General features: G+C 45.9%; 1 protein-coding gene and 1 long non-coding RNA gene across 7 annotated transcripts in view; one reads left to right on the forward strand and one right to left on the reverse strand.

Annotated features, from left to right (window-relative positions):
- The window catches only part of OTOA (otoancorin), a 96,762-nt gene extending 86,035 nt beyond the window's left edge, over nucleotides 1–10,727 (forward strand). For 4 of the 5 annotated variants that reach the window (NM_144672.4, NM_001161683.2, NM_170664.3 and 1 more), the window contains 5 exons: nucleotides 1,933–2,075; nucleotides 2,367–2,503; nucleotides 3,025–3,122; nucleotides 7,080–7,275; nucleotides 10,468–10,727. In NM_144672.4, coding sequence (NP_653273.3) covers nucleotides 1,933–2,075; nucleotides 2,367–2,503; nucleotides 3,025–3,122; nucleotides 7,080–7,275; nucleotides 10,468–10,538 — 645 coding nt within the window. In that variant the 3' untranslated portion in view covers nucleotides 10,539–10,727. Of the gene's footprint in view, nucleotides 1–1,932; nucleotides 2,076–2,366; nucleotides 2,504–3,024; nucleotides 3,123–7,079; nucleotides 7,276–10,467 lie in introns of those variants that run through there. The other variant, XR_002957775.1, reaches the window with a different exon arrangement.
- The window catches only part of LOC105371126 (uncharacterized), a 31,769-nt gene continuing 17,407 nt past the window's right edge, over nucleotides 11,320–25,681 (reverse strand). The window contains exons 2-4 of one of the 2 annotated variants that reach the window (XR_002957908.2): nucleotides 17,239–17,398; nucleotides 16,832–16,954; nucleotides 11,320–11,515 (exon numbers count right to left, since the gene is read on the reverse strand). This is a non-coding gene — a long non-coding RNA (uncharacterized LOC105371126). Of the gene's footprint in view, nucleotides 11,516–12,982; nucleotides 13,046–16,831; nucleotides 16,955–17,238; nucleotides 17,399–25,681 lie in introns of those variants that run through there. The other variant, XR_002957907.2, reaches the window with a different exon arrangement.

The following is a 25,681-nucleotide window of genomic DNA, read 5'->3' on the forward strand; positions in this document are numbered from 1 at the left end:
TGATCTTCATAGGATTGGCTTGGATGCCTCCTCAGGTCCTACATAGGTAGATAAAATGAATCAGCACATGTTTAGTTACAAGTGGCAGAAAACCCAACACAAACTGGCTTGAACAAATAAAGGGGCTGGGTGCACTGTGCAGTGGCTCATACCTGTAGTCCTAGAACTTTGGGAGGCTGAAACGGGCAGATCACTTGAGGTCAGGAGTTTGAGACCAGCCTGGCCAACAGTGAAACTACTTCTCTACTAAAAATACAAAAATCAGCCAGGCATGTTCATGCCTGCCTGTAATCCCAGCTACTGGGGAGGCTGAGGCATGAGAATCGCTTGAACCTGGGAGAGGGAGGTTGTAGTGAGCAGAGATCATGCCGCTGCACTCCAGGCTGGGTGACAGAGTGAGACCTTGTCTCAAAAAAAAAAAAAAAAAAAGGAATTTATTGACTCCCATTACTGGAAAGTTCAGGGGTAGTGTTCAGATACAGCTGGATCCAGGATCTTCAACACTCTGGGTGGGAATCTGTCTCTTATCATGTTTTTGAACTTTGCTTTTCTTTGTGTTGGCTTCATTGAGAGACAGGCTCTATGCCTGCATGTGGTAGGTTCCAGCAGATCCTTGTGTATATCCTTCTAAGTTCAAGTCCAGAGTAAAGAAAGCTCTTCCCCTAATGCTCCACTCAAAGTTCTGGTTGACTCTGGTTAAATCACATGTCCAATCCAGAACCAGTGACTGCAGCTAGGCTAAGGTATGAATTGAAATTCATCACTCCTGGAACTTGGTGCAGTTAGCTTTGACTGAACCACATGAAGCAGGAATACAAGAGAGGTGGTTCTCCAGAGGAAGTTATGAATGATGAATAGCCACTGTGCTAGAATTATGGAGACTTATGTGTCAGCCGCCTTAAATCAAGGCTTAGTTTAAAATAGTTTAACACCAAAGCATTTTGTGTGCTACTCTTGGAATTGAAGAGTAAACATTGGAATTGAAGGGGTGAACATATTTCTGTAGGACCACAGAGGAAGAAAAAATCATTAAGGGGTAAACATATTTCTGTAGGACCATAGAGGAAGAAAAAATCATTCTGGCTGAAACCTCATGAAGAAGGTGACATTTGAGTTGAACCAAAGAAAAAAAAAAAAGAATGTCTGCACTTGGAAGTGCAGAAGGGCATTTCAGATGAAAGGACTGGTTTGAACAAAGGCAAAGAGACAGGAAATTATAAGGTTTTGTTGGAGGTTGTGGAAAGGCTGGGTGCGGTGGCTCATGCCTATAATCCCAGCACTTTGGGAGGCCGAGGTGGGTGGATCACTTGAGGTCAGGAGTTTGATACCAGCCTGGGCAACATGGTGAAACCCCGTCTCTACAAAAAATACAAAAAGCCAGATGTGGTGATGTGCACCTGTAATTCTAGCTACTTGGGTGGCTAAAGCACGAGAATTGCTTGAACCTGGGGAGGTGGAGGTTGCAGCGAGCTGTGCCACTGCACTCCAGCCTGGGTGACAGAGCAAGACTCCGTCTCCAAAAAACGAAAAAAAAAAAAAAAAGGGAGAAGAAACGTTGTGGAAAAAGATGCTGGAAAAGTTTGGATCCTGATGCAGAAGAAGTTGTATGTCCAAACTGTCTGAGGGTCATAAGAGTGACTGAAGGAAATAAGCAGCAGACACACAGGACACAAGTGCCTTTAATATTGGTGAAGGATGTAAGAGATTCATTGCCTGAAGACACTTTCATAGATTAGGGGACATACTCAGTTGAAGTAGTATCTTAAGGACATGAACTTGGATGCAGAGGCCAGGATGGTTTGGAGTGGGGATTCCAGAGGAGTAGGATGGGAGATCAGTCAGGAGACTACAGCAACAGCTTATTTATCCCCTCAGGCCTGGGGACCTTGATCATTCCTGGATGGTTTATCTTTTATTCTTACTATTTTTTAGGCTGAATCCATTTTGCAAGGGTACCTGGATGATTCAGGATACAGTATCCAGGACCTGAAGAGCTTTCATTTGGTAGGACTTGGTGCAACCCTGTGTGCTATAAACATCACTGAAATCCCACTTATAAAGATCTCAGAATTCAGGTAACTAAAATATGAATGTGCAAAATGGCAAATGGGTTAATTCATCCATCCATCCATCCATCCATCCATCCATCCATCCATCCATCCATCCAGATATTCCACCTCCTGACACTTGGCACCTTTCTGGGCTAAAATCCCACTGGGCTAATGGGATAAGCTGGATCTGCTGTCCCTGCTGAGCCTACTGTGCAGTGTGTGTGTGTATGTGTGTGTGTGTGTGTGTGTGTTTGTTTGTTTTTGGCTGAAGAGTCCAAGCTCATATTATATCCCTCCCTCTTTAACCACTACCAGGGTGGTAGTGGCCAGAATTGGGACCCTGCTCTGCAGCACACATGTCTTAGCCGAGTTTAAGAGGAAGGCTGAAGTTGTGTTTGGGGATCCCACTGAGTGGACCAGTTCTGTCTTGCAGGAGCTTGGGACCATTGCAGGTAAGACTCACCCTGAGCATACCTTTCTCTCTCTTTCCAAACTTAAATGTGGGGACACAAAATAAAACATTATCCTTGGCCATGTGTAGCAAACATCAGTGGCGTTACAGTAGAACCTACATTTCATGATTTGAAGTTGCAGAGGGTGGGTCTGCAAATCTGCTTTTAAAACAAGCTCTTTTGGAGATTCTTGTGTACACTAAAGTTTGGAAAACCGCTAGTTTAGAATGTGATTTAATTGGCCCCTAAGTAGGTTTATACAAAATTTGAAAGTGTGTAAATTGAAGTTCCTTCTGGGCATGCGTTTCACTGTAGGAGGCCAATCAGGGCTAATGTGACCCACATTTTTTTTTTCTGAGTTGATGAAGGAACTTGATTCCCCAGTGTGATTTCCAGGGCCTTTTGTAAGGAATGATGCCTGCCTAGAACACTCAGATCTGAACATTATGCAGCACCATTAATAAAACAAGCGGAGTTCTGATGGCTTGAACTAAACCCCCGTGATTCCTTTTTCTCCCCAGCTGGATTAACTAAGGCAGAGCTCCGGATGCTTGACAAGGATTTGATGCCATATTTCCAGCCATCAGCAATAAAATGCCTTCCTGATGAGATATTCAAAGTAGGTGCTCAGTTCTTCAAGGAGAAATGGGAGCTTGACCCCATTTCAAATCACACAGGGAAACAGGTGATGGGCCTTGGAATTTAGAGGCTTGTGACCAGGCTCTGCTGATGGGGTCAGAGGAGATCTGTGTGAGTTTAGGTGTTTTTAAAAAACATTTTTCTTAAAATTACAATATGTAGTTTAATTATATTTATTTTTACGGTCATCTTCTCTTCTTCTAGCAGGTGGTACTGATTTTCTACTTATGGTGGTATGACAGGTTCATAAACCCTTACGAAAACCCCTGGGGACAGATATAGTTCAGAATTCAGAATTTCTCAGATTTTGAAAAGATCACCCTGTACATTTACTGTATGTAACTTCATACCCCCAGCAGTGTCTGGGGAAGCACCTTGTAAGCAAACACATTAATATTTCTGTGAAGAAATCTGTGACAAGCCACACTAATTGGAATAAATAGAGACTATAAATAAATAGCCTCACATTACTTCAGGTCAAGTTTTGCTGATAAATAAGTTTGACTTAAACTTTGGGGGAAAACTTGCAGTTTTCAGATTATTTTTGGACTTTGGAATTGCAGATGAGGGATTGTGGACCTCTGTAACATTTCCTTTTAAGATATAATTAAATAAAAATATTTTAGTTGATTTAGGTCAGGCATGGTGGCTCACACCTGTAATCCCAACATTTTGGGAGGCTGAGACAGGCCAATCACCTGAGGTCAGGAGTCTGAGACCAGCCTGGCCAATGTGGTGAAACCCCATCTCTATGAAAAATACAAAATTAGCTGGGCGTGGTGGTGGATGCCTGTAATCCCAGTTACTTGGGAGGCTGAGGCAGGAGAATCACTTGAACCCGGGAGACAGAGGTTGCAATGAGCCAAGACCACACCATTGCACTCCAGCCTGGGCAACAAGAGCGAAACCATCTCTCTCTCTCTATATATATATATTTTTTTCTATATATATATATTTTTAGTTGATTTAAAGAAAAGTATTAGGAAAATCACAAGAGGACAGGTGAAAAACTGCTATGAAAAAATTGAGAGGGTGAAATTGGATCATTTGAAGGAAGGGAAGCAGGGTATCTAATGACAGGTCCTTTTTTTCTGTCTGTATACAAGATTAGGGGAGTGTTTGGTGGGAATAGTCTGCTCTGATGAGGAGGCAGTCATTCTGGTGTTCCTGTTTGCTGCGTAATGTGGGAACACATTTTGTCCAGCACTTCTGGATAAAACACACAAACCAGGCTCGACAAACTCCCCCAGTGCCACATCACTTGTTCATTTCAAGAAAGATAGCTGAGGCCGGGTGCAGTGGCTCACACCTGTAATCCCAGCACTTTGGGAGGCCGAGGAGGGTGGATCACCAGGTCAGGAGATTGAGACCATCGTGGCTAACATGGTAAAACCCTGTCTCTACTAAAAATACAAAAAAATTAGCTGGGGTGGTCACATGTGCCTGTAGTCCCAGCTACTCAGAAGGCTGAGGCAGGAGAATGGTGTGAACCCGGGGGGCGGAGCTTGCAGTGAGCCAAGATCGCTCCACTACACTCTAGCCTGGGCGACAGAGCGAGACTCTGTCTCAAAAAAAAAAAAAGAAAGCCAACCTTCAATCACTTCAGCATCCTGGACAGTTCCGAGCACATTGCAGGCATAATAGCTGTTTGAGGGCAATAAATAGCAGTCCTCAAAGCCATTGAGCAAATACCTGCTTCCCCTCTGGGGCACTCTGCATGGGACAAGCAGCTTGGTCTTGGATGCTGGCATTTTGCTAAGCACTTTCTCTTGGTCTTGTTTGGAGTGCTGTTGTGCTGCTTCCTTGTACAGGTATTTATCTATTCCAGAAATCCCTACTGATCACCTACATTGTGGCAGGCTCCAGGGTAGGTGCACCTAAGGATGCACAGGTGAAGGGGTTATCACATAGTGCCTTCAGGGGCCTAAAAGGTAACATAAGGTGCAGTAGGCTGGGTAGAGACCGAAGTGAACTGGAGAGCCTTGTCTAAATGTGGAGGCTGCTTCTCATTCCTAGCACATTCATGCAGTGTGGCCATGTGGGCCCAAGATTGCTGAATTTTCCTTTTCACTTTTTTCGAGAAGAAGTCAGAAATCTTCATTTTCATATGGAATTGCTTGATAATTAAATGTTGGCAGCCAATCTGAATTTATTTTTGAAAACACAGTGCCGTAGGCCTAGAGATTCAATCTGGCCTGTGGGTCGCAAGTCAGCAACATTGATAAAAGAGATAATTTTTAGAATACAGACTCTGTGTTAATGGTATATGGAAGCCAAAAAAGTACCTCTCTGACCACCCCACCGTGTGTGTGTGTGTGTGTGTGTGTGTGTGTGTGTGTGTGTGTGTAGTGAGAGGAGAGGAGGTGATGCTGAATTTTAATTTTTTTGAGACAAAGTCTCACTCTGTTGCCCAAGGGAGTGCAGTGGCACAATGATGGCTCACTGCACCCTTGATCCCCTGGGCTCAAGCAATCCTCTCACGTCAGCCTAAGTAACTAGGACTACACACTTGGCTAATTAAAAAAACTTTTTGTAGAGAAGGGGGGTCTCACTGTGTTGCCCAGGCTGGTCTCGAACTCCTGAGCTCCGTTAATCATTCTGCCTCAGCCTCCTAAAGTGCTGGGATTGTAGGCATGAGCCATGGCGCTTGACCGACCAGATGCTGAATCTTGGAGAACAGCTGGCGATGAAGAAGAAACAGTGTTCCAGGCAGAAAGAGGTGCACAGGAAGATGCTGCCTCTAGGGAACTGTAAATATTGGCACCCACTCTCCTGGAGTGAAGAATGCCATGTGTGAGGCTGGAGAGGTGGGCAGAGTTTTTTCCAGGAGCCTGAACTGTGTTCTGGAGTGGGGTTCCTGGAAGGGCTTTACACAGAGGGATATGATTCCAGGGAAGTATCTACCTGGACAAAAGAGGAGGAGAGGGTGACTGACAGGAGAGGAAGGGATGAGGGAGCATAAGCATCTTTCCCAGATTCTTCAGGGCCTTTAGAAAATAAACATGATGATATAGAGTCCCCTTCGTATTCCAGTCCCATTGGAACGAGTCACCAAGTCCTTTGATCTGGAAGTGACTTCAGAAGACACCTTGTTCACAGTCCTTGAAGACATAGTCTGGCTGGCAGAATTTCCAACTCATGTTGTCCATAGCAGATATCACCAATAGATGACTGCATTTTCCCTCCATGGAGCCCTCACAGAGCTCATCACATGGTGCTCAGGCAGTCAAACCAAAGGATCAGAATCAGTCAGCAGAGGAGATGAGTTCTCTATGCCGTCTCACATTTATCCCCAAAGCCCACGGAGGCTGTGTAATTTGTTCAAGGTGACACAGCAAGTATGTGGCAGAGCAGGGGCTCGAATTCAGGCCTCTGATCTTTAAGGCCTGTGTTTCCCCCTCCACATCAGTGTTTCAGGAGGTGGAAGACTTGAAGCACTGGGAAGCTGTCCTGCATTGCATTAAACAACATTGCCACATAGGGAGGAAATCATGCTTCCCTTTTCAACTCTCCATTAGTACTTCTAAATACCTCAAGAAGGAAGTGTCAATTTAACCCTGTATAGTACATTTTATATTCTCTCTCTCTCTCTTTTTTTTCCAAGAGGCCAGGGGTTCAGATATTGTTGGCGGACAAATCTAGCTAGGATTCAACAATATTGTTTTATTTTTATTTTGCGGCTCCTATTTAATGCTTGCTTATGGCAAGTCTGCCGGCTTTCCATTTTTGGAAACTTCCATTTTAAATTTTCTATTTTTAAATGCATTTACTTTGGTAGTGCAAGAGTGATCTAATTTTAAGGAAATATCTTAAAGAGGACCACACATGATACACACAAGGGGATGGCAAAGTTGTGTGCATCCTGCGCGGACGCCCGAGATGTGGGAAATCCGGGGAGGGGCCCCGTGTGAGGGTGCTGCCCCTTTGCCTCCTGCAGGAGCTGTCCGCGGAGCAGATCGCCTCCCTGGGTCCGGAGAACGCCGCGGCGGTGACCCACGCCCAGCGCCGGCGGCTCAGTCCACTGCAGCTGCAGAGCCTCCAGCAGGCGCTAGATGGCGCCAAGACTCACTCCTGGCAGGACGCGCCCGCTAGCGCCGGTCCCACTAGAACCTCATCCTCGCGTTCTCCCGCAGGTGAGCAGAGCCGCCCTCTGCCCCGCGTCCCAGCCCCACTCTCCTTCCTTGTCCTCCCTGTCAGGCCTGGGGTGGGGAGGTTCTTAAGATTCAGAGCGAGGTCTCTGACAGTCACTGGGGATTCTGCCCTCAGTGAAAAACCCAAAGTCCCTATCAAGCTTCCCTACCAAGCTTCAGAATTAGTGATTCTCAACTATGGCTGCCCTTGGGTGGGGGGCATTAAACATCTTCCAGTTCTCCCGCCCCTACCCAGAACGCATAACATCAGAAACTCAGGACTAATTTCATTTTAGCCGCTCCTTTGCAAACTCCCTCCTCACTATCCAATAATAATGAACTATTATTATTATTATTATTTTGACTCAGAGTCTCGCCCTGTCGCCCAGGCTGGAGTGCAGTGCCGCGATCTCGGCTCACTGCAACCTCCACCTCCCAGGCTCAAGCGATCCTCCCACCTCAGCCTCCCAGTAGCTAGGATCACAGGTGTGTGCCACCACACCTGGTTAATTTTTGTATTTTTAGTAGAGATGGGGCTTCACCATGTTGGCCAAGCTGGTCTTGAACTCCTGACCTCAGGTCATCTGCCCACCTCAGCCTCCCAAAGTGTTGGGATTACAGGCGCGAGCCACCAAGCCTGGCCTGTCCAATATTAATTAATTCAACCCATGTTTACTGGGCACCTACTATGTTCCAAGTCCGCAGTAGGGGCTGGGAATACAGAGGTGACCAAGATAGATAAGGCCCTCTTGTAAATGAAGAAGATATTTCAAATCTGACAAGACCAGGGAGGGTGATAGTGACTGAGGGCTGAGCTAAGATAGAGAAGCCTCCCCAGGGAGTGGCATTGGATCCTGGGAACATGGCCTTCTTTCCTTTTTCTCCCCCATGCCTTTCTTACAGCTCTCCCCATTTCCCCTTCACTTTCTCACTTCTTTGTGATAACTTCTGTTCTTAACACCACATTTGGACCATGCTCTGGGGAGATAGCTTCTAACAAGATGGGGAACAGAGATGTTCCCTGCCCTCATTGAGCTCTCAGTGCAGCCTGGCGGGGAGGGAAGACATGTACCCTGGTGAACATGAGGCAGGTGCTGGGTGCTGAGATGGGGAACACACATGGGTCAGGAAACCTCCTAAAGTCAGTGATGTCTCAGGTGAGACACAAGGTGAGAAGAAGATGGGCTTAGCGAGGTAGACAGTGTCTCAGGAGTAGGTACCGGCATGGGCAAGTGCCCAGAGAAGTCAGAGGACTTGGTGCTTGACTAAAACCTCCACTCCACCTTTTCCTGACTTGAATGTCTCCCTGTCCTGCCTTCACATAGGGATGGTGAATTGGAGTATTCCCCATTTCTACAGCCACAAGTGGCCAGAGGTGGCACTTGAAAACATAAATCATGCCTTTTGATGTATTATATTATTACTTTAAAACACTTTTCATTGAGGCTGGGCACATTGGCTCATGCCTGTAATCCTAGCACTTTGGGAGGCCGAGGTGGGCGGATCACCTGAGGTCAGGAGTTTTGAGACCAGCCTGGCCAACATGGCAAAACCCCGTCTCTACTAAAAATACAAAAATTAGCCGGGTGTGGTGGGGGGCACCTGTAATCCCAGCTATTCGGGAGGCTAAGGCAGGAGAGTTGCTTGAACACTGGGGGCAGAGGTTGCAGTGAGCTGAGATCATGCCAGTTCACTCCAGCCTGGGCAAAAGAGCAAAACTCCATCACAAACAAACAAACAGCAACAAAAAAAACTTTCCATTGAAATATGATATGCATATATTTGAAAGTTATTTGTAAATGTTATAGCGTTTTGCATGAATAGATAATATGTGCAATAGATAATGCACAGGGTTCCGAATATATAAAGTCTGCAAGGCATGTGGTGAAATCTTTTCCTCCAGCCCCTGTCCCCCAGCCACCCTGTTCCCTCCCCAGAGGCAACCAATGTTAGCAGCTTCTTGTGTATTTGTCCAGAGATATTCTATGCATACACAGCAAATCAAATATAGATGATCTCTGCACTTTTCACAAAAGCTTATTATACACCTTATTCTGCACCTTGTATTTTTCACCTAACAATATACTTTGGAGGGAGTTCTGTATCTGTGCACAGGAGCTGTGCCATTGTTGGTTTTATGGCTATGCCGTAACTGTATTCAACCAGAGGTCTGTAGATGGACCTTGCAGTTGTTTCTATTTTTTTTTTTTTTTTGCTGTTATGAACAATGCTGCAGCTCCTGACCTGATATAATTTGCATCTGTGCAAGTATGTCTGTAGGATAAACTCTTCAAAGTGAGATTGCTAGATCACAGGGTCTGCATTTATAATTTTGATGGATGTTGGTCGGATGTGGCAGCTTATGCCTGTAATCCCAGCACTTTGGGAGGCTGAGGCAGGTGGATCACTTGGGGTTAGAAATTTGAGATGAGCCTGGCCAATATGGTGAAACCCCGTCTCTACTAAAAATGCAAAAATTAGCCAGGTGTGGTGGCACATGCCTTAGTCCCAGTTACTAGGGAAGCTGAGGCAGAGGAATCGCTTGAACCTGGGAGACAGAGGCTACAGTGAGCCGAGATGGCGCCATTGCACTCCATCCTGGGTGACAGGGCGAGACTCTGTCTTAAATTTTTTTTTTTAATGGATGTTGTCAAATCCCCTGCAGAAAGGTGTGACCAGTTTTCCCTTGAAACAGCAGTGTCAGAAAGTGATGAGGGCCCCTTAAAAAGATGTTTCCTGCATGTCCCTGGCTGGGCAAGATCCTGGATGCCCCTCCTTCATTCACCCCAAGGGCCTAAGTGAGGGCTGCCATTGGATGAACCCTTCCTATGGACCAGAGCCCTAATCTTTTCTTTCCTAAAGTTGCTTAATTATCAGAATCACCTGGGAGAGATGCTTAAAATACAAATTCCTGGGTCTCCTGGCAGACTTGCTAAATCAGAATCTCCAGGGGATCCTGGAATTGGTGTTTCTAACAAGCTCCCTAGTACATGCTGACTGACACAATCTCATTTAATTCTCACTCCCCCACCCCTCCTCCTCTTTGGGGATCATTGTTCCCATTTAAGAGACGAACAAATCAAGGCTCTGCATCAAGTGGCCCCAGAGAGAGACTCGGGGAGTTGGACATCATGTGTCTACCTTCTGCTTGCTGCCAGAACTTCATGTGTACTCTTATTTTGTATTTGCTTTTAGGAGCTCTCCAGTCGTGGGGTCTTTGGCTTGGTTGTCCCCTGCTGGTTCTAATGGCCAAGCTCCTGTGGTGAGTGGCCTGAGCGCATCGTCCTGTGTTGCCCCAAGCAGCTGGCCAACATGTGTAGAGACAGGATGCTCCAGATGGTGGGACACCCTTCCCTGGATCCAGACCCTCATCTAGGGCAGGGAAACCCTGGGGCCTTGATGGTGAAAATGCACCCCAAATGAAAAATAATTATTAAAAATGATCTTGCAAATTATTTTTAATTTTTTTAAATTTTAATTTTCATTAGTACATAGTAGGTATATATATTTATGGGGTACATGAGATGTTTTGATACAGGCATGCGATGTGTAATAATCACATCATGTAAAATGGGGTATCCATTACCTCAAACCTTTATCCTTTGTGTTACAAACAATCCAATTGTACTCTTTTAGTTATTTTAAAATGTGCGATTAAATTATTATTGACTATAGGGTCGGGTGCAGTGGCTCATGCCTGTAATCCCAGCACTGTGGGAGGCCGAAGCAGGTGGATCACCTGAGGTCAGGAGTTCAAGACCAGCCTGGCCAACATGGTGAAACCCCATCTCTATAAAAATACAAAAATTAGCTGGACATGGTGGTGTGCGCCTGTAATTCCAGCTACTCGGGAGGCTGAGGCAGGAGAATCGCTTGAACTGAGGAGCCAGAAGTTGCAGTGGGCAGAGACCATGCCACTGCTCTCTAGCCTGGGTGACAGAGTGACGTTATCTCAAAAAAAAAAAAAATTACTGTTGACTATAGTCATCCTGTTGTGCTATGGAAAAGTAGGTCTTACTCATCTTTCTGTTTTTTTTGTACCCGTTAACCATCTGCCTCCTCCCCACCAACTCTCCCATTACCCTTCCCAGCCTCTGTTCACTCTCCTTCTACTCTATCTCCATGGGTTTAATTGTTTTGATTTTTGATCTTGCAAATTCTTAAGCCCACTCATCTCCTCAGCAGGAAGCCCTTCTCTGTCCCATTGCAGCCTCTTTTGTTTTCCAGCTTGGAGACAGAGAACCTGTGGGGAAGGAAGGGTGTTTTCTGTTAACAGCACGAGACCCTTACAATCAAGTTGCTGCCCTCACTTTAGAGAGATACCAGAGAGAGGCAGTGCAAGAAAAGGCACCATTTTAGCCAGGGCCTCATCTAGTTTCTACTTGGGCTTAATTTCACTTTCTTGAAGCTACAGGCTACATTGGATTTCTCCTCTACGATATTTAGCAGAGCTGAAATAAATGAATCCCTGAGCAGAAGCCAATATTCTTGCCTGATTGCTGGGACTAATTGATGTTTTGGTGGGCATTGCATTGGTTGGAAGTTAAAACATTTAACATGGCTCAACGTTAAATCAATTTAAAAATACATTTTTCAGGTGTCTTCCATTTCCTTGGGACTCAGCTGAATGGATGGCTGTGAAGTTATCATTAAACTCTCAAAATATTCCCTGTTTTTGGTGGAGATGGTGGTGGCTCTTCTGGTTTTAAGTTGCTCTGGGCTTTGGGGAATTGGTTGAAATAAAAAATAAAAGTACATTGGGTAAGTCAGTCACTGATGTGATCCTGGCGGGCTGAGAAAACTCCACCCACTGGCTCGATCCTGCTAGAATGAAGTTACTTCCGGGAATTGCCAGGATGCTTTTAGCCTTAGGTTTAGGAAGTCAGGGCTCAGGGAAGGGGGGCAGCAGTGGTGTTTGCAAACACCTTCTCGAAGACAGCATCACAGCTGCTTGTCAGGGCGTTTCCCTGGTGGCATCCTAGGTGCTTCTGTTCTGCCATCAGCACACCTTGGGTTCTCCTCCTAGTCACCTATCCACAGTAGACATCTCATCTGGAGGTAAGAAAACTGCATGTTTCCGAAAATCTTGGTGTCCCTAAAAGGCGGTGGATTTTACAAAGCGTCATGAGTAGGTGTTGCAGAGGCTGGAGTGTATTTTCAGAGGTCACGTGGTTTTATAGAAAACTAAGACTGCAGTGTGAAAGGTGTGATCCTGTGATCCTGCACGTGTTATTTAATGTCTGACTTGGTTTTCCTTCATCCTGGCAGGGAAGTAGCAGCAAATGGGTGCTCCTCAGGTACAGAACATTAATTTTTTTTGTTTTTGTTTTTGAGATGGAGCCTCACTCTGTCACCCAGGCTGGAGTGCAGTGGCATGATCTTGGTTCGCTGCAACATCCACCTCCCGGGTTCAAGTGATTCTCCTGCCTCAGCCTCCTGAGTAGCTGGGATTACAGGCATGCGCCACCATGCCCAGCTAAGTTTTGCATTTTTGGTGGAGACGGGATTTCACCACGTTGGCCAGGCTGGTCTTGAACTCCTGGCCTCAAGTGATCCGCCTGCCTTGGCCTCCTAAAGTGCTGAGATTACAGGCATGAGCCACCGTGCTTGGCCCAGAGCATTAATTTTCTTACAAACAGCAGCCCCCAGTTTAGCTGGGCTGGACCAGCTGCTTGGAGAGGGGTTCTTGATGAAAACGTGTCTGCACAGACTCCCATGAGGATGTCCTTGGATCTCAATCGGTATTCTCACTTTCTGCCAGTCTTGGATTATCCTGGACAAGAAAAAGCAAACAGTAACAAAATCCACTCTCCTGCGAGTCAGGCTTCACACTGCCGACTTCATGTAGCTTTTGTATTTCATCTCTCTTTCTGGTCATTTGTTTCTGATCTAATTCCTGTTTCTTTCCTCCCATCTTGAATAATGACTCCCATTACAGAGGGCTGACTCTGGGTCAGGCTGTCTAAGGGCTTTCACTGTGTCATTAGCTCATTTCATTGTGGCCATGCTCCTGCCAGGTAGGCACTGTTAGGATTCCCATTTTCCAGATGAGGGGACTGAGTGTGAGAGAGGTTAAGGAGCTCTTGTCTAAGCTTCCCAGATAGGACAAATTTGAATCCTGACTTCTTTATCTCTGCACTGTGCTGCCTCCTGGACAGGTGTCCTTTAACTTCTCTAATAAGTCAGATCAGAGAGAGATTCTGTAAATCCCTTCACCTCCTCCTCTGGTGGGAGGACAGTTTGCCTCACAGCACATATAATTGGTGATCGCCCCAGGCAGGAAGACAAATCTAGCTGATGCCCTGCAGGAACCCCAGGGTCTCAGGTTGAAATGCACAGTCCTTTGCATGCAGGAAAGCAGCAGGTCACGCTGGCAGGTGCTGCTCCCATTCACCTTTCAATGTCAGCTCTCCTGATGGATTTCTAGCCTCCATCCTTCACAGCCCTCCTCAGCTGGAGGCAGGGATCACTGGCACTTGTATGCAGATCACAGCATGTTGGCTCTGGTTCTTATCAGTCAGGACCTGTGCCATTCTGGCTTCTAAATTTTTTGAATATCACCCCAGTTAGATCCTTTTGCAGAATCTCTACCTTCAGGCCCGCTCCAGACACCAAGCCTGGCTTGATGGGGGCTGCAACTTCAGCCTAACATCCAGTGGAACTTACAATGAAGTTATCCTCTCTAGTCCTGGTACCCAGGGGTTCAGCCACAGCTGCTTGTGATGGGCTGTACTACCAAACAGAGGTTACTGTGTCTTGGGGCATGTGTGTGCTTACTCTGCTTTACTGAAGTCATGGAAGAGAGTTACAACACAGTAAACAACTTAATATTCAATACTAGGCATTTTTTGTCCTTAAAAGTCCTTTGCCCACTTTTGCCTCTTGAGGGGCCTTTAGAAATATTGGGCCAGGCGTGGTGGCTCATACCTATAATCTTAGCACTTTGGGAGGCTGAGGCAGGAGGATCACTTGAGGCCAGGAGTTCATGTCCAGCATGGGCAACATAGGGAAATCCTGTCCCTACCAAAAAAAAAAAAAAAAAAAAAAAAAAAAAAAAAGGCTGGGGGCAGTGGGTGGGTCACTCCTGTAATCCCAGTATTTTAGGAGGCTGAGGCGGGCAGGTATCTGAGCTCAGGAGTTCAAGACCAGCCTGGGCAACATGGTGAAACCTCGTCTCTAGTAAAATACAAAAAATTAGCTGGGAGTGGTTGCACGTGCCTGTAGTCCCAGCTACTTGGGAGGCTAAGCAGGAGAACTGCTTGAACCTGGGAGGTGGAGGTTGCAGTGAGCTGAGATTGCACCACTACATCTGAGTCTGGGCAACAGAGTGAGACTCTGTCTCCAAAAAAAGAAAAATTAGCCCCCGCCTGGTGGCACACACCTGTAGTCCCAGCCACTCAGGAGGCTGAAGTGGGAGGATCGGTTGAGCCCAGAATTTTGAGGCTGCAATGAACTATGATTGTGCCACTGCACTCCAGCCTGGGTGATGGAATGATCTATATCTATCTGTGTATGAGATATATATCTCATATACAGAAAAGCGTAATACAAACTACCTATGGTATTGGAAGAATCCCAGGAATCGTTGGAGGTCTTGAATGAATTTGAAGAGGGTACTCGTTCAAGACTAGTTTAAGACACACATTTTGTAGATGTCCCAACTAGACACTGTGTGGCCTGGGAATATAGATGTAGATAGATATCTATATCTATCTATATATGAGATATATAGCTCTCATATCTTATATATATGAGATATATTTCATATATATAAGAAAATAATATATATGAGATACGTATAACTCATGTATATGATAATATATCATATGTATAAGATAATATATGAGATATATATCAAAGATTATATTTAGATATATAATATATCTAGATTATATATAGATATATAAGCTATATATAATCTTATATATGATATATATTTCTTATAAATATATTATAACATAATATAATTGAAAAAAAGTAAACATTGCAGAATTCCCAGGCCACACAGTATCTAGTTGGGACATCTACAAAGTGTGTGTCTTAAAGTAGTCTTGAACTGAGTACCCTCTTCAAATTCATTCAAGACCTCCAACGATTCCTGGGATTCTTCCAATACCATAGGTAGTTTGTATTACGCTTTTCTGTGGTCGCTTCCCCGATTACTGATTGTTTCAGAAAGAGACATGGGCTTGGCTGATCCATGGAGATATCTGCAGCTTGCCAGCAGCTGAAGTCTTTATTTGCCTTTATCTCCGTTGTGGCCTCTGATGAGCCAGACTACAGAGATGCTGATGAAATCTGGGAGGCAATGGTGGAGGCTGTAGTTTCCCAGGAGAACTCTGGCCCTGGGGAATTCCTTCCAGTCTCTGAGTCCCTGTGGCACATCTCCATGTGTGGCGGACTAGGTGATTGCTCCTAGTGATTCTGCTTAGTTCCTTTATTAGAATTATAAGCTTTTTGCCATGTGACTTTGTAGTACATCTCAATAGGTAGAGTCTAATTCCTTGCCCTTCTAACTTTGGGCTTTGGTCATTGGAATGTGAGCAGACACATTTTCCCCCAGCAGAAGTTTTAAATGTGCTGCATGATTTGACTTGACCTCTTGGCAATTGCTTCTCATGTGAAGGGACATGTGGAGCAGACCTGAACTCAACCCAAACCTTGGAGCCAAGCTGAGCTCAGCAGAACCTAGCTGAGCTCAGCCAAGCCAAACCCAGTGTAATCACAGCCAATCTGAAGACTCAGAAGCAAGAAACAAATATTTGTTATAGGGATCTATTGGGATTTGAGAGCTATTTCTCTTTTTTTAAGTTATTGTTATTTTTTGAGATGGAGTCTCACTTTGTCACCCAGGCTGGAGTGCAGTGGAGTGATCTCGGCTCACTGCAACCTCTGCCTCCTGGGTTCAAGCACCACTAGTGCCTCAGCCTCCCGAGTATCTGGGATTACAGGCAGTGCCACCTTGCTTGGCTAATTTTTGTATTTTTTGGTAGAGACAGGGTTTCGCCATGATGGCCAGGCTGGTCTCAAACTCCTGACCTCAGGTAATCCACCCGCCTTAGCCTCCCAAAGTGCTGGGGTTATAGGCATGAGCCACCGTGCCAGGCCTAGGGAGTTCCTTGTTATTGTAGCAAAAGCTGTCTTATATATCATGTCATTAACATGCCCACCTTACACAGTGCTGGTCCCATTCTGATGACAGGAAGATGATACATTTTATCCTTTACCCTTACCATCATTTACTATGTACACTATGCCCATTTGTCAAGCTCTTCTGCCTCCAAAAAGTGCTATGGTACTTGATACCCGATAATAGTCTTTAACTTCTGTCATGCACCCATTTATTTCCCATCTTCAAGACCAAGGGTCGTAGAAATCACAGGAAAGCTGGGGTCAGAACTTATACTCATAACATGGTTGTTCCACCTACTTTGCCATGGCAGACTTTGTATCTCATGGCTCACTTAACTACTTCCCTTGAGCACTCACTGTTCTAACACTCATTTCCCCCAAATCTACAACTTAGCTTCTCTCCCTGGTGCAGTCAAGGCCCTTTTACCTGGAGTCTCCCAGAAGGATTTTCAGGTCATGTGCTATATTAGCTCATCCTTAGGGAAGAACGTTCCAATTGAAGAAGCCATCTGACTCTCCCCCAGGTGTGTGGTCATCTTCTCTGCTCATGCTGGAAGATGGAAGACCCTTTGAAGTAACTTAGTTCAACAAATCTGCCCTTAAGTTGTCTTCCCCCTGGGGATCTGCCCCATCTTCGTCTTCTCCCTGCCACACCAGGTTCATTGAGAGCTCACTCTCCCCCACGGTCCTCTCTCATGCTCCCTGGCATCTTGCAACAGGGAACTTGAGATGCTGATGGGCAGTTGGGTGGATTCTCAATGGTGGCCAGTCCAGCTCCAGGACCTGCCATACTGGCAAGGGTTTTGGGTTGGAGGAATCGGCATGACAACTCACCAGCCTGTATTCCACCCGAATGTAAGCTTCTGTGGGCAGGAGGCTCATCTGTCTTGTTCGCTGCCATGTTGCTACTGCCAAGCAGTCCCCAGTAGGCTGGTCATGGCTGGTGTCCATTACATATTTGTGCAGCATATGGGTGAACATACACACGTCCTTTCTGAAACAAAATTGAACTCAGTAGGACACTCACTCAGGCAAAGATTGGGAAGCTTTAGATCCATTCTGGAGGAGGGGGAGATAGAATCAGAATATATTCATTTAACAAACATTTATGGGGAACCTACTTTTTTGGCAGACCTCATGCTACAGAAACAACAGTACACAAAGCCCTGCTTTCATGAAGCTTACAGTCTACCGGGGACTGGGAGAGGCGGACCATAAACACACACATGCACACATATACATGTTCACATCCACACACCCCTGTATCAGATAGTGATAAATATTATGGAGCAAAGAAATCTGGAGGAAAGGATCGAGAGCTCCAGATGGTGATGGTAGGGATAGGGGTGGTGCAGAACAAGCTTTAATAAAACATTAGGTGGTCAGTAAAGGCTCTGCCCTCAAGAGGGATACAATCGCTTCTTAAAGGTCCCACCTCTCAATGCTCCCACTTTTGGGATTCAGTTTCAACATGAGTTTTGGGGGGTCATTTGAATCAAAGCACATGGTGTCCACCATCAGCTCTAAGTTTACAGCCTAACACTTCCGCAATAACAAGAAAGAGAGAGAGAGAGAGAGAGAGAGAGAGAGAGAGAGAGATCTTTCCTAGTTACTTCAGCAAAAGTCCCCAGGTTAGGTCTGATTGGGCTTGCTTGAGGCAGGTGCCCATTTCTGATCTGACCACTGTGGCCCAGACAATGGTTACACCAATTGGCCAAGGCTAGGTCTGATTACCCTAAATCCTACCACAAATAACATTGACTGAGCAGGAAAGGACTGATTCCAGAAGAGATCAATTACTAACATGTGGTAGGCAGAATTCTGAGATGGCCCCCAAGATCCCTGCTCCCTGGTGTGCACAATCTGTGCAATCTCCTCCTCTCCAGTGCTGCACAATTAGAGGATGTGATGGAATAGCCCTGCCCTGACTGGGCTACTAGTTAGTTGATTTTGAGTTAATCAAAAGGGAGAGCATCTGGGTGGGCCTGACCTAATCAGGTGCACCTTTAAAAGGGACTAGGCCCTTCCTGAAGTCAGAGATGCTCAAAGTGTGAGAAAGCCTATGGAGAGGCCACAGGGCAAGGACCTAGGTTTGTCTTTAGGAGGTGAGAGAGGTCTCTGGTCGATAGCCAGCAAGAAAAAAGACCTCAGTCATATTGATGCAGGGTAGATGAACTCCAAACTGGGGCTTAGCCTGTGAGGGTTCTTGGCCTTGCCCAGGAAAGAATTCAAGGGCAAGCTGGAGGTAGAAGAAAACAGCTTTACTGAAGCGGTGGTGTTACAGCTCCTGCAGTGTTACAGCTCCATGACGGCTCCTGCAGAGCAGGGCTACCCTGTAACCAGAGAGTGGCATCTCTGGGCAGTTTTGCAGTCATATTTATACCTGCTTTTAATTATATGCAGATTCAAGGGTGGTTTCTGCAGAACTTTCTAGAGAAGGGGTAGTAACTTTAGGTCATCAGGTCATTGCCATGGAAAGGGGTGGTAACTCCCAGGTATTGCCGTGTCAATGGTAAACTGACCTGGCACACTGGTGGGTGTGTCTTAGGGAAAGCTGCTTCCCTCCCAGCTCTGTTTTAGTTAGTCCTGAACTTGGTCCGGTGTCCAAGCCCCACCTCCAGAGTCAAGTCCTGCCTCCTATCTCAAGATAATCAGAAGGAGCGGAAGTCTGAAAACAACCAATCATCCTGGAAGAAGACCCTGAGCTTTAGATAAGACTACAGCTCCAGCTGACACCTTGATTTCAGCCCCATGAGACCCTGAGCAGAGAATCCGGTTGAGCCGTGCTTGGATTTTGACCTATAGAGCTGTGAGATAATACATTTGTGTTGCTTTAGTTGATGCACTTCTGTCAATTTGTTACACAGCAATGAGAACTGAATAAGGGAGAAACAAATGCTGGGTAGACAGAAGCGACGGATGTGCATGAGGAGCTGAGACAGACAGCTGCCTGGAATTGAGCCTTACTTAACCTGGAAGGTATGACTATGTCTGTGAATCCTCATTGGAAGAAGTTTTATTGGTCAGACATCCTGTTCCATGTCAGCCTCTCCCTCTAGGATCTTTTGCTTCCTGCAAGGAGTGGGGCCTGGTATGTTTATCTTTTGCATTTGTCATTCATAGTGACTCAGCATCAATTCATCCTTTCCCACAGTATTGTGAATTTCCTTTGGGGAAGCACACTTTTGGTACTCTCCAGTGGATTAGGTGGCATTAGCCCCACCTTCACTCCAGTGCTGGGCCCTGATTCCCTTAAGTCAATTAGCATACTCCATTCCCCAGGCCATAATGACTGATTCAGGGATGGACCAAAGAGAGCCAGGCTTTGGATTTTTTATTCAACTGTCAGAGTAAAGAGAAAGAACTTCTCTTTCCTCTGCACATGAATTGGGCAGCCATCTTGAAATAGTAAGAAGAGAAGCTTTATAAAGGAATGAAATTAAGAAATGGAGTGAGAAGAATGGAGTTAAGAAATGGTGTGAGGTCAGGCATGGTGGCTGACACCTGTAATCCCAGAACTTTGGGAGGCTTAGGTGGGTGGGAGGATTACATGAGCCCAGGAGTTCGAGACCAGCCCTGGCAACATAGTGAGACTCCCTGTTTCTATAAATAATGAAAAGAATTAGCTGGGCATTGTGGTGCATGCCTGTGGTCCTAGCCACTCAGGAGGCTGAGGTGGGAGGATTGCTTGAGCCTGGGAGGTTGAGGCTATAGTGAGCTGAGATTGCACCATTGCACTCCAGCTTGGGTGACAGAGTGAGATCCTGTTAAAAAAAAAAAAGAGAAAGAAGGAAAGACAAAAAGAAAAAGAAAGAAAGAAGGAAAGAAAAAAAGAAAAAAGAAAGGGTGTGAGAAACACTGGGTCCTGGCAAAAGATGTTGGCACCTGCATCAAACCATACCTGCAGGTTTGCCCCTGGACCTTTCAGTTATATGAACAAATATGGGTTGGATTTCCTTATACTTACAAGTAGTTGGGTTGCTTTCTTTTTTCCTGTTTATTTTTCTTGCTCATGAGATGCACACAAATTGTTTTTTATTATGGGTATAAGTGATCACAAAGTGCCCATTTTCTCTATAACCTGAACAGAGAGAGTATGGGCATCTCAGCTTCACTGGGCCACAGCATCAATCTTTACCCTGAATTCAGCTTTGATGCACCTGAGTGCCTGATGAGCTACAGGGATCCTGTTTCTGAAAACTTTACGTGGGTGACAAAATAGCAAAATAGTGTGTGAGGCCTTTGCCTTGAGACCTGGGTTTGTTCCGGAGACAACTCTAATGGAGGAGAGAGATTTGCTCCTCCCACTCTCCTCGCTGACATTTGGCCTCAGGGGACTGAGTCATACCCGACTGACTCCATGTATATAAGTGTGAATGGCAGTCTGGTAGTCCAACCAGGTGATGCTTCCTGTCCCCGGAGGGTAGCCAATATCATCTCCTGCTTTTCTTCCTTCTGATTTAGCATCACTCAGGGCAGGAATTCTGGGCTGGAGGAGAGGGGCCTATAGTTCTCTTGTATGGTCTGAGTTTGCTCACACAGCAACCTGCTCTTATCTAGTCTGATTTTTTTCAACAGCATCCTGTTGTACCTTGTCATCTGGCTCTGTGGACAGGCCTTTCTGGTCTTCACACTGATGCAGGTTTGTTAGTTTTTTTCCTCCTTGTTAATGTATAGTCAGGAATTTAACATCCTTGACTGTCCTCATCATCGGACACCCTCACTAGTCTTGTCAAGTCTTAGCTATACAAATGAAAGCATGGAAGCTTGGAGGTGATATGTCATGATGCTGAATCCTAGGACTGAGCCCCGTGAATATGCTGTTAAGGTTCTTCAATCCCCACTTGCCTTCTGGGCCTGCCGCTCTTGCAACATCCTTGTGTCATGCTCAAAGACCTTTGCAGTGCCCAGTTCTGTGTTTCCTAACAGCGTCTTTGTTTTGGGTGCATTCTTTGATATTGGATGCTTGAAATGGACTAATCAGGTCCTGGCAGGCAATGGATGCACATTAAAATCAATTACTTGAGGAGAGTTTAGCAAAGAGAGTATTTACAGAAGCATGGACTGGGTTAAATGAAACAAAGGATGTGAGGAACTCTGGAACTGTCAACAGCACAGAGCCCTTACCAACCAGGTCTAAAAGGGAAGGGGAGAGAGACTCCTGGAATCCAGAAAGAACTGTAGTGTGATTACTCAACCTTCCTACCCACTGCATAGACAAAACCAGTTTGCTGAGACTGTGGTATTGCAGTGAAGAAAGAGTTTAATTAACTTGAGGCTGGCCATGTGGAAGAACTGGAGTTATCACTCAAATCAGTCTCCCCAAAAACTTGGAGGTTGTGGTTTTTCTTTTCTTTTCTTTTTGAGGTGGAGTTTTGCTCTTGTTGCCTGGGCTGGTGTGCAATGGTGTGCTCTTGGCTCACCACAACCTCCGCCCCCCGGGTTCAAGTGATTCTCCTGCTTCAGCCTCCCAAGTAGCTGGGATTACAGGCATGTGCCACCATGCCCGGCTAATTTTGTATTTTCGGTAGAGACAGGTTTTCTCCATGTTGGTCAGGCTGGTCTCGAACTCCTGACCTCAGGTGATCCCCTCACCTTGGCCTCCCAAAGTGCTGAGATTACAGGTATGAGCCACCGCACCCAGCCTGTGGTTTTTCAAAAATAGTTTGGTGGGCAGAGGACTAGGCAATGGATGCTGCTGATTAGTTGGGGATGCAATAGAGGTGTGGGAAATGGTCCTGGTGCTCTGAGTCCACCTCTGGGTAGGGGCCACAGGACCAGTTGAGTCATGAGTTACAAGTCCAGGTGGGGTCAGTTATTTGCCAGAATGCAAAGTCTGAAAAACATCTCAAAAGACCAATCCTAGGTTCTATAATAGTGATGTTATCTATAGGAGCAATTGGGGAAGTCACAAATCTTGTGACTTATAGAACAATGGCTGGTTCTAAAACTATGCCTAAGACTATGCCTCCATTTTAGCAGAATTCAGGCCCCTCCCTAATCTTGTGGCCTTTCCTTAGTTTTACAAAGGTGGTTTCAGCCCTGAAACAATGAGGGAATCAGTTTTAGTGGAACACTATTATCATCCTTGCTTTCAAATTAAACTATAAACTAAATACCTATCCAGGTGCAGTAGCTCACACCTGCAATCTCAGCACTTTGGGATGCCAAGGCAGGCAGATCGCTTGAGCCCAGGAGTTCAAGACCAGACTGGGCAACATGGCGAAGCCCCATCTCCACAAAAAATACAAAAAAATTAACATGCGCCTGCAGTCCTAGCTACTCTGGAGGCTGAGGTGGGAGGACCACCCTGAGACCAGGGAGTTCGAGGCTGTGGTGAGCCGTGATCATGCCACTGCACTCCATCCTGGGCGACAGAGTGAGGCCTTGTCTCAAAAAGCAAATAAATAAAATAAAAAAATTCATCTCATGATTAACTTGGCCTATGCCCAGGAATGAGTGAGGACAGTTAGCCTGTGAGGCTAGAAACAAGATGGAGTCAGCAACACCAGATTCTCTCACTGTCATAATCTTTGCAAAGGCAGCTTCAGTAGCTGTGAGAAAGAGCCGCCCAACAAGGGCTGTAGCAGCTTTTCCCAGTGGCGCCAATGCTTCCCTAGTCCAGGCTCTGGGGAATTCTCTCTTGGAAGACGCAGCAGGCTGGAGTTGAGGGTGGGGACTTTAATCCTCCTCTGCACATTGCCAGGAACCACCTTTTCCCTTCCAGAGCAGACTTTCATTTTAAAAGCTATTTTGTGTTCATCTTCTGAAAGCCCATGTGTTTGCTCATTTCCAGGAGAATTTTTATGACTTCTACACTTTTAAAAAGCTCATGTGAAGCTGCCTGGCTTTCTGTCTAGGTTTTGGATACTTTCTTCTTGCGCCTCCAAATCCGCTGTCCGTTCTTCTCAACTCTGGTGTGCCCAGGGAGCCAGACTGGCCAGTGGGGACCCAGTAGGAGATTGGAGGGTGGAAGGGGAGGTCAGGGTATTTATTCCTTTGGCTTCTTTCCTTCCGGGCTGAGAGTTTGCAGTAGCTCAGTTTCTCCCTAAAGGCCACAGTTCCTGTTGGGCAGTTCTGTCTTACAGCGACAGCTCTCTCTGGGTTCCAGGATTCTCTCTCTCTCTCTCCTTCCCTTTTAGACCCCACTGTTGATAATACCAGCGTGCTCCACATCCTTGTTTTCTCTTAATCCTGTCCACACTTCTGTAAATAATCTCTTTCCTAAACTGTCCTCAATTACCCCATTGGAGTGTGCATCTGTTTTTTGCTGGGGCCTTGATTGCTCCATTTCAAACACCCAGTGTCAAAGAATTCACCCCTGAAGGCTGCAAGGGGAACCTCAGGGAAGCTTCTGCAATGTCTCTCTGTTTCCAGGTGGTAGTCCACCTCCGGCGTAGCCTGAACCAGGTCAATTAATGCTGCCTATTTTATATGATCAAGTTTGTCATTGAGGTCGTGAAGATGCATACCTCTTACTTCTGGCTTGGGGACAGTTGGGCACTGCCCCGTAGTTAATGACTGTGGATACAGTTCTCAAATTAATCTGGGTGTCAGCTGAGTCCATCAGCCAGTGAGTAGCCCCTGATTGCATGGCCAAGGAAAACCAAAACTTCACCAGGGTTTCTGCAAATGACTGTCTCAGGACTCCTTCTGGTTGCATGCTATCGATGTACCTCCTTGCCCCAGGTGTGAATCCTCTGAAATAATTCATAGTGGAACATTGTGGTAGACAGCTTCTAAGATGACCCCAAATGATCCCTGCCACCTCATATTCACGTCCTTTTGTGACCCCTTGCCCTGACTGTGGGCTGGACCTAGTGACTAGCTTTTATTTTTTTATTTTCACTTAAAAAATAATTTCTCGGCCAGGTACGGTGGCTCACGCCTGTAATCCTAGCACTATGGGAGGCTGAGGCGGGCGGATCACGAGGTCAGGAGTTCAAGACCAGCCTGGCCAACATAGTGAAACCTTGTCTCTACTAAAAAAAAAAAATGCAAAAATTAGCTGGGTATGGTGGTGCGCTCTTGTAGTCCCAGCTACTTGGGAGGCTGAGGCAGGAGAATCGCTTGAATCCAGGAGGTGGGGGTTGCAGTGAGCTGACAGTGAGCTGTCTCTTTTTTTGAGACAGGGTCTTGCTCTGTGGCCCAGGATGAGTACAGTGACACAATCACGGCTCACTGCAGCCTTGAACTCCTGGGCTCAAGCAATCCTCCCACCTCAGCCTTCCAAGTAGTTGGGACCACAGGTGCACATCACAATGCCTGGCTAATTTTTAATTTTATTGTAGAGAGGAAGTCTCCCTATGTTGCCCAGGCTGGTCTTGATTTCCTAGGCTCAAGTGATCCTTCTGCCCCAGCCTCCCAAAGTGCTGGGGTTACTGGCATGAGCCACTGCGAACAGCCTATAATTTCAACTTTTATTTTAGATGTAGGGGATACATGTGCAGGTTTGTTACATGGGTATGTTGTCTGTTGCTGATGTTTGGGGTATGACTGGTTCTGTCATCCAAATAGTGAGCATAGTTTGTCAGCCCTTTTGTCTCTCCCTTTCTCTCTCATCTAGCAGTCCCCGTTTTTTTTTTTTTTTTTTTTTTTTTTTTTTTTTTTGAGACAGAGTCTTGCTCTGTTGCCCAGGCTGGAGTGCAGTGGCATGATCTTGGCTCACTGCAACCTCCACCTTCCAAATTCAAGTGATCCTCATGCCTCAGCCTCCTGAGTAGCTGGGATTACAGGTGCTTGCCACCACGCCCTGCTAATTTTTGTATTTTTAGTAGAGACAGGGTTTTGCCATGTTGGCCAGGCTGGTCTTGAACTCCTGACCTCAAGTGATCCGCCCAGCTTGGCCTCCCAAAGTGCTGGGATTATAGGTGTGAGCCACCATGCCCAGCTGTAGTCCCCAGTTTTTATTGTTCATATGTTTATATCCATGTGTACCCAACGTTTAGCTCTTGCTTATAAATGAGAACATGCAGTATTTGGTTTTCCATTCCTACGTTAATTCACCTAGGAAAATGGCTGCCAGCTGCATCTATGTAGCTGCAAAGGGTATGATTTTGTTCCTTTTTATGGATGTGTAGTATTCCATGGTATATATGTACCACATTTTCTTTTTCCAATTCTCCATTGATGGGCACCTAGGTTGATTCAATGTCTTTGCTTTTGTGAATAGTGCTGCAATGAACATATGGGTGACTAGCTTTTAATCAGTAGAACACAGCAAAGGTGATGGCATTTCAGTTTGAGATTAGGTTACCAAACACACGGACTTCTGTCT

Source organism: Homo sapiens, chromosome 16 (genome assembly GCF_000001405.40).
Source record: "Homo sapiens chromosome 16, GRCh38.p14 Primary Assembly".
In the NCBI taxonomy this organism is placed as follows: Eukaryota; Metazoa; Chordata; class Mammalia; order Primates; family Hominidae; genus Homo; species Homo sapiens.